We start from the raw sequence: 12709 nt of genomic DNA, 5'->3' as shown, positions 1-12709 counted from the left end.
ATCACTTACTTAGGTCTTTCTGCATGTTTTATGTAATGAGATTTTTTAAACAAGCCTTAAGTAGATGTAAATTCTAGGCCTTTAGATTTTTGGTTGACATGGGTGATAAGAGAAAGTTCTACATTTTATTGACTGATTATATTACATTATGAGAATAAATACAGGGTAATTCTGAAAGTTTGGTCTCTTGCTTCCTCTGAGCTATTAGTTTTATCATTTTGATATAAAGAAACATAGACGGTTGGGGTTTGAAAGAACCTTAAGAATCTTGTAGTATGACCTCACCTAAGCTGGGCTACTACAGCACACTTGATTTGCAAGATTTGATAGGTGTTCTGAGAAAAATTTTTAAAGATTTGAGAAGAAAAAAAAAGAAATGAAAGTTCTGTGAGTAACAATATTCGGGAAATGCCAAGTTTTTAACATCAGACTAGTTTTTCTTGTATTTTTAATGCTTTAATATGATAATATTCCTAATGAATTTTCAAGACTACACCAGGATATTATATAACATATCCGCAATGTTTTGATTATTGAAATATTTCTTAGTGAAATGCATATGAATATCCTTCAGACGAGTTTACTGAAAAACATGTTTGGAAATTCTGAGACCCAAAGGAGTATAGCTTATCTATAAATACAGATGATTAGTGAGTCCTAGAACCAGAACCAGAACACTTAGAATCTCTCTTTCATTCTCTTTCCAAGACATCATGTATTCTGATACCAATCTGTACTGCTTTCCCATATTTTATGCTACTTTAGATAAAAGGACAACACCCAAGAACAAAAATTACTTGGTAACAACAATCATATTTAGACAGTATTTTAAAATTTTTGACCCATTCCTAGTGCCAGTACTGTTACCTGAAAAAACAAAAATTGCTACTCAATTAAAAAGTCTTAAGGATTTCTGGCAAATTATTTATAACATTGGGAAAAAACATAAAAATAAGTCTGAGTAATATTTTATATGTGTGTATATATATGTACTTACACATGGTGTTTATAAACTGCCCGATTTTTAGTTTTTAAATAGATACAAATTCCTGATTTTTAAATAAATATGTCAATTAAAATAGTTTCCATTATATAAGCAAATCAGAATCTGTGGTAGACTCTAATCTCACACAGATTTATCATTTTTATTGTGCTGTGCAGAATAAATCAATTAATTTACATTTTTAAAAATATTCTTTGGAGACAAAATATCAGACTAGTCAACTTTTCAGTTCAACAATGACATGTGATTTGATGTATCTTGCTAGTCTAAATTTGAATTTGCATTAAATTTTCCAAATAGGAATGTTTTTTTAAATGGAGTTATGATGGCTTATCACCAGGAATTAAATAAATAAATAAAACTACGCATTGTTTTTGCAATGGCAAAATGCTTAAAGGTCACCATTAACAAATAGGAAAAACATGTCGCATAGTTCAAAAGAAATGGAAACAAATTTGACCATAAAAATGACTTCTGCTCTTGTATGTCTGCAGAAATCTGGAAGACAAGTCAAGTCAAGACACCCGCTTAGCCTTTGACTCCACTAAGTATAGAAGACAGTTTATGTGAACACTGTTGGTAACTCCTCCATATTTAAGTAAAGAAAATACAATGTAAGAAAAATAGACTTATAGAATCCTATGCCTGAAATAAATGTAGAAAGAACATTTTCTGTCCTGAAAATAATTCTCTCCAATAAAGTAAAAATACCAATACCTATTGAAATATGTTTGGACAAATATTTGATTTAGAAAAAAAAAAAAAAGAAAATACCCCTTCCTTGCTTTGGAATCTTACTAGGCCCAAATATATATATATATATATTTTGGCATATAAAATCCCAAGACGACAAACTCATCCAAATAGAGTGGGGTGGATTTGGGGTATGGAGGAGAAGAGTCCTTTCTAGGAGCGGTATCATCAAATGTCATGCATCACTCATATGTTCACTCACCTGAGGATTAGGCTTTGAACATCTAGGTGCCCAGTCTGAAATCTTACATTGAACAGATATTTACTGAAAAAGCAGTATGTGCCAAACATTATTCTAGGTATGGGAGATTCAGTAGAGAAGTAAACAAGTATGGTCCCTGTTTCAGAAGCTCACAATTTACCAGGAGAGATATTCCATAAACAATATCACACAATGGAAGTGCCATGAAGAAAATAAAAAAGAGTGATGCAATTGGTGCTTGGAAAGGGACAGTCTGAAGAGACAGCATCTGAAATGACAACTAGATGACAAGAAAAATCCATCCATAAAATGTTCTGAGGGAAAGATATTCCAGGCAAAAAAGGATGGCAGATGCAAAAGATCAAAGGCAGGAGCGAACTTGATGTGCTTGAGGGAGAGATAAAGGGCTATGGGTTGGAAACACACTCAGAAGGCAAGAGGGGCTGTAGGATCAGTGGGTGAGACAGGCAGGACCAGATCATGCAGGGCTTTAAGCAATGAGATTTTATTCTATGTGTCTGAGAAGGTATTGGATGGTTTTATGCAGAGGAGTGGCATGATCAGATTTACATTCTTAAGAAGACTGCTTCCACTCCTGTTTGGGGAATCAACTGTAGTCAGAAAAAGAAGGAAGGAAAACAGTTAGCAAGAGAGTGGCTTAATCCATTTGCAATGGTGGCTTACAGACTTAGACTAAGGTGTTAATAGTAAAAATGCGGGAGAATAAGATAGATTCCAGATATGTTTTAGAGATTGAATTGCCTTGACATGCTGATAGAATCAATTTTGGGGAAAGTAAAAGAGAAAAATAAGAAATGTCTTCTAGCTATTTGGCTTGAACAATTGAGTAAGTGCAGGTGGGAGGGCGCCTTTACTGATACAGGAAGTCCTAGAAAAGGAAGGGATGTGTGTGTGTGTGTGTGTGTGTGTGTTTGTGTGTTGATGGAGATGGGCCATTCATCAAGACTTTTAAAAATACGTTGAGTTTAAGATGCCTATCAACATTTAAAAGAAGATGTCAAGTAGCATGTAGATCTAGGAGCCCAGAATTTATGGGAGAAATCTGGTTGGGAGATATGAATTTGGAAGTTATTATCATATAGATAGATATTTAAAGTTACAGACCTAGAAGTATTCACCCAAGGAAAGCGCGAAGGCAAGAGGGCTCCTCCGAAGTCCTAGAGCACCAAAACATTTGAGCAGTCAGGAAGGTGAGGAGAAACCAACACCGAAGGCTAAGAAAAAAATAGCACTGTGTGCCCATCTGTGATCACGAATGGAAAGTGTGACCAGTCAACAGAGAGGGTGTTTCTCTTCAGTGGTGTTCACAACATGAGTTTTTGTCTTTTGAATGCAGTCCCCTAGGTCCTCTGTGGAGTAAATGATCTAGGATTTCAGCTTATTACACAGCTCTGGAATAAAGAGGCCCTCATGGCTAGAAATCTATGGACCAGTCTAACAAGACTAGATGATTTGGACCCATTTTTATGTTCACTTGAGGAAAAACACCAAGAGTGGCCGATCCCCATGAAGGGGAGGAGAAGGGAGAGAAAGAAAGGGAGAAAGGATGAAGCTCAAGGTTAGAAGGCCTCGCTGGACTGACCTTTTTAATGACATCTGGCTTTTTCCCTCCTGTGCCTTACTCTGTAGCTTCCCTTCAGCAGATTACCTTCAGACACAGTAAGCCATGGAAAGGACCCTTTCTGTCACAAAGATAATAGCCATTTTCATGTGATCTGTTGTTGCGTTTTTAAGTTCTCGTGTCCTTGAATCAATTTTCTAATAATTAATCAGCATCCCTTTCAAAGTTCAGAAGCCTTGGAAAGGGCAGGCTATAGTGAAGTAGCTGATTTCTGTCTTCTGATTTTCAGTCCACACATCTGCTACTTTGCAATCTATCAGATTTCATGCAGTCCAGCCAAGATGTGATTTAGCTAACAAGTATTCAAGTATAAGGTATGGTTTACTTCTGTTCTCAGCTATGACATTTGAGGAAGAGTGTATGATTAGAATCTTATGATCATACTGATGCTAGATTAATTCTCTACAACTATTTATTGAGGTAAAGGTTTATGAAAATAATCCATTAGCTTTGGCTGTCTCCCTTTTCTTTAAGGTTCTTTGGAGGGCTGTCATGAATATTAATGCTTGTTGTTACCAGTTAATTCTTCTTCCTGTACCATTTCCTTCTCTGCAGCATCCTTTTTGAAATTCACAAGGCAGTCGCCTCTCACCAAATTCACCTAGAAAAACTGTATTTCTCAGGGCAACATAAATGTTCTGTTTAATTAAATGTTCTTATTAACAAGGGTTTAACCCAAAACAAAGCAAATAAAATGGTGAAATGCTCACCATTCTTATTTAAAACAATAATCCACACAGTGATAGTACTGGCTACCTGAGGAAAGCCTTGGTGTTTGACACTAAACAACACAGAGGGCAGAGGAAGAAAGGCTCAGTCTCCAGACAAGCCAGGCTTTGGTGTTGGAGCAGACAGGAATGATAACATAACTCCACCTAACAGAATACCCCGCCAGAATAGTTTGAATATTTAGGAGTTTGTTTTTCTCACATCACAGGAGGCCAAGAGATAGGTACTTGCTGTTCTCAGTTCTGGATCCAGGTCTGCAGAGATCTTGCAGCTTCCATTTTGCCCTTTGGACCCTGGCCATCATGTAAAGACCTGCTATCATGCTGGAGGAGAGGCCATGTGAAGAGAGTCCCCTGGAGGATGAGAGAGAAGCCAGGCAGAGAAGGACTGAAGAGCCCCAGCCAGCAGCCAGCACTGAATCCCAGACCTGTGAGTGAGGCCACCTTGGATCCTCAAGCCCAGCTGAGCTGCTTTGGTTCACACCATGTGAAGCAGAAATGAGCCAGTCCCCACTGCTCCCAGCCATGATTCCTCACTCAGAATGATAGCAATAAAATAGTTATTGTTTTAGGCTACTAAATTTTGGGGTGGTTCATTATGCAGCAATAGAAAACAGAAACAGAAGGTTAAGCAAGTTCTTGTAGTGACATATTTCCCCTAGTAGAGCTCAGTCCTTTATAGAACTCTTTTTCTAACTTTTTACATCAATGATGTCCATTTAGATTGCTGTACTTAGTGTTATCAGACTCTACCAGTTGCTAGAAAATCAATGTGTATGTGTAAGTTTGCACACAATGCACATATATTCTTTGAATAAAGACCAAATACCTACTGATCTACCAATGAATGTTAATAGCAAGGAAAGAATAATGATAAAATCCATGTATTTATTTCATTTTTATCTATTTTCCTAGTCTTGGAAACAAATTATTTACTTAAGAATTACAATCTTGTTTATATTAATAGTAACATCTGCCATGTTTCTTTGAAACTCCCCTTCCTAACCTCTATTCTGCATGACATAGCACTCTATAAATAACACTAATGTTCACAATCAGGTTTTCATCCTCTACTTGAACTTTTTCAACCTGTTTTCAAGCCACTGGTTAATGTCATTTAATTTTTTTGAACAATATCAGGTAGATAGTACAGGTTTTATTAGCTCTATTTCACATATAAAACAACTAAGACATTGACCATTGTATAAAAAATCTAAGCATATGTAGCAATATAGCAACAAGACTCACTAGAGAAAAGTTAATCAAAACTTTCATTCAGATATTCCTCTTTTAGCGTGATGTTCTTTGCAAACCCTAATTAAGAAACTTATGACATCTGAGTGTGCTGATATTCATGGTGCTCTCTGTGTGTCCAACAGAATTTAATTTTTTAAGAACCTTCAAAAAGAAATATACAATTAATTTACCTCAATGGGGAAATACCTATAAAAGCAGGTATCTTACAGCTCAACACTCAGGGCCTATCATTGTTTTAGAAGCAAACAAAATCAGCTCGGCCTTACAAAAAGCTTTCCAAAACCATTAGGCCTGCCAAAATGCTCAGCAGCCTTCTATCAGCAAATTCCTATTTTTACCTACTTATATTTATCTAATCTACACTTTCATTTTGTCCCACCACATATTCATAAACTGAGAGAGAACACTCTGACCCCAAGATAAATACAACTCTGACAAAGATTTCCACCTCCCCCCACCCACCCTCAACAAATAAAGAAAGAGAAACAGGGTCTCTATTAAATTTCCTGTTGGCCCATTGCCTTCTTCTTATGAGGCCCACCCTGGTCACATGATGCAGAAGAAGGAATACATAAACGTTCAGCTTTCATTTTACAACTATGGAGAAGAACCATAGCCTTGCATTTTGTAACCCAGATGTAATTAAGAAGATTACTGCTCAAATGTAAAACTGAAGCTTGTTTTTTCACATCTTTATTAGTCATATGAAAGAAAATGATTAGGTTTGCTTTGATTTCATTTAGGCTCTGGGAACACGGACTAGTGTTTGTTTTCAAGGCTGCCAACGTTTAAACCTTCCAAGCAATTTTGGATTCAACAACTGAACACATTAAACAGCTAATGTATAACACACTATGTCCTCAGTCGAAAACCCACAGCAACTCTAAAACATTTTAAACCATAGCTTTTGTCATGAAACTATTGTAAATCTATGTTCAAAATCTTGTTTAAATTTTGTTTAAACCTTTCTGCAAGAGGATGCCCTTTGAGAAATAATTTCTGGAAGGGTTTATATCAGAGGCACTTATTAAAGTCTGAACTGCAGTTATTGCTAGGGATTTAGTGAGGCTAATCACTTTATTTCAGTTTTGGAGTCAATATTCCTTGATTCACTAACTAGAGTGCTAAGTGGAGAAATAAGTCATCTGATTAAAGAGAATGAAAAAAGAGATTCTTACGTTTTCAGCAGAATGACTTTTCTCCTTTTCTCCTTCCTCTGTTCTTCTTTTCCTTGTTCTCTGCCAATTTGTGCCACGTGGTTCAGACAAAAGTGCCTAGGAGGAAATCTACATGAAAAGGATGATCATAAGATTGATTTCTCAGAAGAATGACAGAATGTTGATCATTGATGTCGACTGAAGGGTTCGTGGCAGGGGGGTTCCTTATACTAATTTCCTATCTTGTATATTTTTGAAAAATTGTATAATGAAAAGTAAAAAATGTTTTCTTAGGCAAAAATCAGTAACCAATTAACCAAAGCAGTTAACATAGTTAATGATTTCTGAGTAACAGAATTAATGCTAAATTTTCTACTGCCTACTTCCAAAAACAGACACTAAATTTTAGCATTCCCTGCTCTGTACTGTCAAAAGCCCTAAGACGTTTTAATGTGAAAAGGACTTAAAGATTTGGTAAACTTAGGCTACTTAAAGGATAATTTGGCTCCAAAAGCATAAGTTAAAGCTTTTTCATATAGGTGATAAAGAACATTTGTGTTTTTTTAGAAGATTACCTTTTTAGTTTTATCGGCAAATAAAATGCAAATTTCTGTGTTTCAGTTATCTATTGCTGCATAACAAACTACCCCCAAACTTAATGATTTAAAATAACAGCCATTTCATTTGCTTGTGAATCCGTAGAGCAGGAATTTGCATAGCAAGAGTGTCTCTGCTCCACGAAAGCTGGAGTCTTAGCTGGGATGACGCAGATGGCTGGGAACCTGGTGGACAGCTCCGCTGGGGTCACAGGTCTGGGGCGTTGCTTCTTCCTGTTGGCAGGGCTTTAAGTACTCCTCCCCACGGCCTTGCCAAATATATAACTGGACATAGTCACAGCCCGGTGGTCTCAGGGGTGGTTGGATTTCTTACATGGCAGCAGACTTCCCAAGAGAAAAAGAGGAAGCTGTCAGGCTTCTAACAGACAGCTCAGGACTGTTACACTATGGATTCCTGCTGCATTGTATCGATCAAAGCAAATCACAAGGGCCTACCCAGTTTTCACGGAAGGAGAACTAGATGAATCAGGACTCCTTACCTTAGTGGGGGTAAGGGAGGTATAGGATTGTGGGCAGCCATTTTTGAAGACTATCACGTAGTGGCTTTAAAAGAGCTTTGTATTTGGATGTATCTTGGACTTTGAATTTAAAGCACATTGGAAAGTACCATCACCTAGTGGCAAAATGCCCTTAGTTTTGGCAGATATCTAAAAGGGGAAAAGGGCTTTAGGATAGTGAAATGGAAAATATCTTTAGTACCCTTTCTCACAAATTAAATAAAAATTACTAGTACAGTAAAGGCACAGAATTTAAGTCACATTACAATGCAGATGTGGGGGGAAATGTGATTTCTTTATTCAGTCTCTAACCTGGATTTGTTGCCCCAAATGACTACACACTGGTGAGTAGGAGATAAAATATATTGAGTATGCATTTTGGCTTAAAGCAATGATCTGTAACCTAAACTGTCTGCTAGGTAATGTTCAGCCTTTCCTTGGGAAAGGTTCTAGATGGTATTCCCTGGACAACTTGGTCCCCCCCTTACTCCTGCTGGCTACAGATCCTAACTGCTGTGTTGTCCACCTGGACCAGTGATCCCCACCCATCCCAGCCTGTCTTGCACAATCAATCTCATTTCACAGCAGACTCCACAGCAATCCCATGATCATTTAATACAGCACTTATACCACTTGACAACTGAAGGCTGCCAGGAAAGCCTATCCCAGAGCCTCTCTGCCTGATTACCCTCTATGCAGAAAAGAGTCACAGCAAGCCTGAGACTGCTAGCCTTAGGCCTGCTTACAAGGTTATCCCATGGCTAGTGTCTAGGACTTGGATTTTGGGAGGATTTCCACCATATTAACTAATAAGAACGGATCACTGTCTCTCAACTATTGTGCAAACGATGTGGTTTTTGCTGAAGACCTGTTTTCCTTCTGGGAGCCTGGAATTTGGCAACTGCCAGGAAGAGGATACCTTCATGATCAGCTCCCAGTAAAAACTCTGGGCACTGGGTTTCTAATGAGCTTCCTGGTAAACAACATTTTACACGTGTTGTCACACCTCGTTGCCATGAGAATCAAGTACATCCAATGAGAGTCCACCAAGAGAGATTCTTAGAAGCTTGGGTCTGGTTCCACCAAACTTTGTTCCAGGCCCTTTTTTTCTTTGCTGATTTTACTTTGTATCCTTTCACTGTAATAAACCATAACCGTGAGTACAACCACAAGCTGAGCCCTGTGAGTCCTCCTAGCAAATCCCTGAAACTGGAAGTGGTCTTGGGGACCCTCAGCACATTCTCTGCCACCATGAGACTTTGATATGGTGGCATCTCAGATTCAGAATGGATGGTAGAGCCTACAAGATAAGACTGGAGGAAAGCCAGAAAAGATGAAACTCAGAACTCACTTATCTTCACTTCTTTCTTCTTTCTTTCTTCTCCTTCCTACCATTGCCTGAGTCTGGAAGGGGGATCACATTATTTACACTGCCACTATATCAAAATTTACTCCCTAAGGCAGGTAAGCCTGTCAGCGACATCAGGGGCTAAAGAAGTAGCTCTCTAGACTGGAATAGAAAGTCTTCTTTCAGGTCAATAGCCTGTCTTACAGGTTTTTTTCTCACTGCATAGTCGTAGGTTGTACGTTGAATATCATCCGTCATGTTCTATCCACAGTCCCTGTGCAGACGGATGCTTTGGGTGGAATGAATTAAGAGCTTATAACTGCAAAAGCAAAGGACTAAGGCACAATAAAACATTTCAAAATATTACCTCCATTATATTAACTTAAAGTTCATTGTTTTTGTTCATATTAAGGTAAATAAAACTTTAGTATGAACAAAAAAAACTAAATGTGTGTGCATATACTATATACGTATGTGTGTGTATATATATGTACATATATGCATACATGTGTATATATGTATATATATATGCATACATGTATATATGTATATATATATGCATACATGTATATATGTATATATATATATGCATACATGTATATATGTATATATATATGCATACACACACACATCACCTCAAGTTAATAATATATGGTTTTCTTCAGTTTTCATGTGTTAGTTTGCAGAACTAATTGAGGTTTTGCCATTACTTTTAATGTCAAAAACACACAATTGCTTTTGCACCAGCCTAATAATTTTACTTCATAAATTTTATCTTCTGTTTTTCAATATAGAAAAGAGATTCACCTAATCAGAGCAAACCCACTGGCAAATTTTCTCTTGTAAAGCAATTTTAAATAAAATACTAAATTTAGAACATCACTAAAAGGCAATGTTTAATATTGTACGCGATCCGACAAGTTTTTAATATATTGAGTCAAAAGTAAATTTTACTGATGATCCAAAAATAATAATCAGGCTGAGTCATCAGTTTTACCTGGGATGGCCATGAGCATGAAGAAAAGGACATTAAAATAAAGCAACTAGTGATGAGAACATTCCCGTAATGGCGAGTGCCATGTCCCTGGGAGAGCACATATCCTTGTAATAACCCCTTCTTCAAACTCAGTCTCTCTTTACCTTCTTTGCTTCCAAAACAGCCTTCTCCCCTGCATACTAAATAAGGAGATAAATGCACTCAAGCAAGCAAGCATTACCTGGATTCCACGAGGTGAAAAATAGCATGGTGAGGGTCTTTTGGAGGAGGGTAGTTGTTCTCATGCAGCATAGTCTGATTTTAGTATCACCTGCTTTGATTTGGAATTAAGGAGAATCCAAAAATAAATGAACTGGCTCAGAACCACTTGATGAAAATAGTGTTGAAAGGCCCTGTCTCCAGCTGGCCAGCACGCTGCAGAACCATGGCTGGGGTCCCCACCTCCCTCCTATTTCCCTTCCTATGTGAGAGCAGCTCATTCCTGCTGCCAGTGCATATTTAACATGAAATTCTTCAAGTACCACTGCAAAGCATCCAGCAAACACACCACCTCTAAAGTTAGTCTTACATATGTAGCCAGAGACATGGATAAATATAGAGACCTAGAAATACATACAGAACGCCAGAAAAACGTGCTCTGGGCCAGAAACATATTGTGAATATGCAAATATCTCAGTGTCTGATACTGACGCTCTGCCCTTTAGCACTTGCCTAACTCCATCTTTCTCTCTTTTTCTCTTTGCACCATGTCCCCCCTCCACCAGTATCTTCCCATCTGTTTATTTTTTCCAAACTTTCGTTTTAAAAAATATGGTAGCACCGCTTAAAAATAAGAAAAATATGGTGCCACAAATACGGCTGCCAGGTGTAACATATGATGCTGCTTCTGGGAGTCGGGGAACAAAATGTATAAAGGAGGCTGCATTCAAATTTTCTTACAAAGGTTACCGGAAATGGATTTTATCCATTTTATCTGAACTCTGTTCGTTCCTGGTTAGATTTCAGGTCTGCTTTGTACTTTAAAGAAATTGTATAATCCAGGCCTTGTCATCAGCTTTCTTAATTTATTTCCCCGAAATGACAGGCCTGGCAGAGGCAAGTCTGCCTCTCAAATGTCTGGATTACAGTGTAGCTATGGAAACAGGTGTTAAAGGGGCATGGATGTCAAGTTACGCTGGTACTTTGCACATCGCGTTCTATGCGGACAGCATGTTATTTTACATGCTGACCCATGCAACTGCATCCCTGTGCTTGATTTACAGGAGACCATCACAAAGGAGATCTGCCTCGAGGAAACTATCAGACTGGCCCAGGATGGAGAATGAAGACAGCAATTTGCTCTGTTCTCTAAAGCTCTGATTCAAGTTCTCTAGTCTGCCGAAAATAAATAAATAAATAATTTGACATGAAAGAAATGAACAAATAAATAAAATTAAAGGAGAGGTAGGGAAATCAGAATACATTTTTATTCTATGGGGTCATTTTCCTTTTCTTGTCTAAGAGGAAGAAAAATGAGAAGAATATTTTAAGAAACAATCCTGCTCTAATTCATATAGCCTCTCTATAACTTTCGTGAGTATCCCTGTTCACAGTATTAAAGACCTAGTGAATCTCAGCATCATTATACAGAAGTAGCTGTTTTCAACAACTTGCCAAAAACAATGCTCTGCATTAATCTGATCTACTCAGAAAGAAAAAGAAGCAAAGGAACGAATAGGAGGAGCCACTGTGTGCTGGCCTAGTGATCAGACATGAGTTATTGTATTTCATTTCATCTTTACAAACAGCACTGCAGGGGAGGTATAATCCTTGTTTTATGGGAAAGGAAACTGAGACTCAGAAAGGTTAAGTAATATGCTCAAGGCCTCAAGGTTACAAGTGCAACAGCCAGAATTCAATCTGAGGTTTGTCGACAAAGCCCATGTTCTTTCCACTAATCAACCTAGGCAGGAAGTTTAGGGCATGTAAGGGCAAACTGGCATGCCCTCTCCCTGGCATGCTTCCCCTCACTTCAGCTGGTTTCAGAAGACAAGGCATCACATCTCAGGCTGGGTAACAATAATTAGGTGTGGTCCCTTGGCACTCAAATTATGTTGGCCTGGCTCCAACTTCTATCCATATTAGCATTACTCAATTGAAATTGTATCCAACCCTCGATGAGTTATTAAATCAAAGTCCAATTTAAATTGATATTTAGAAACTATACTTTTAAAAAGCAGTGACATAAAACCTAATGGATCCTATCTGTTTTCTTTATAAATACTTGTTGTGATTTTTGATACATCATTGATCTTCTGACAGGCAAAAACAAGAAGAAGAGCAGAGGTATTCCTAAACCCACATGTACATAAAATTTTAAAAATTTAAATTTATGCTTCTGAAAAGGTGTGGTGAGATACATTTGCATTCACCTTAATGTGATCATTTACATGCAAAAAAAGTCTAATATAGATGAAGCTAACTGATTTACAGGTGTCTATCCATGTCTATCTGATAAGCAGATAAAAA

The 12709-nt window shown here is 37.6% G+C and overlaps 2 long non-coding RNA genes across 3 annotated transcripts in view; one reads left to right on the top strand and one right to left on the bottom strand.

Moving 5' to 3' along the window:
* The window catches only part of LINC01507 (long intergenic non-protein coding RNA 1507), a 210026-nt gene that overhangs the window by 37728 nt on the left and 159589 nt on the right, over positions 1-12709 (bottom strand). The window contains exon 3 of one of the 2 annotated variants that reach the window (NR_121212.1): positions 6764-6871. The exons of the other annotated variant lie outside the window; for it this stretch is intronic. This is a non-coding gene — a long non-coding RNA (long intergenic non-protein coding RNA 1507). The remainder of the gene's footprint in view (positions 1-6763; positions 6872-12709) is intronic. 2 annotated transcript variants of the gene reach the window in all.
* LOC105376099 (uncharacterized) lies at positions 8946-11615 on the top strand. The gene is made up of 3 exons (XR_929981.2): positions 8946-9320; positions 10365-10450; positions 11464-11615. It is a non-coding gene; the product is annotated as an uncharacterized LOC105376099 (long non-coding RNA).

Source organism: Homo sapiens, chromosome 9 (assembly GCF_000001405.40).
Source record: "Homo sapiens chromosome 9, GRCh38.p14 Primary Assembly".
Classification (NCBI taxonomy): Eukaryota; Metazoa; Chordata; class Mammalia; order Primates; family Hominidae; genus Homo; species Homo sapiens.
The sequence above is the reverse complement of the archived record's forward strand: the minus strand, read 5'-3'. Positions and strand labels throughout refer to the sequence as shown.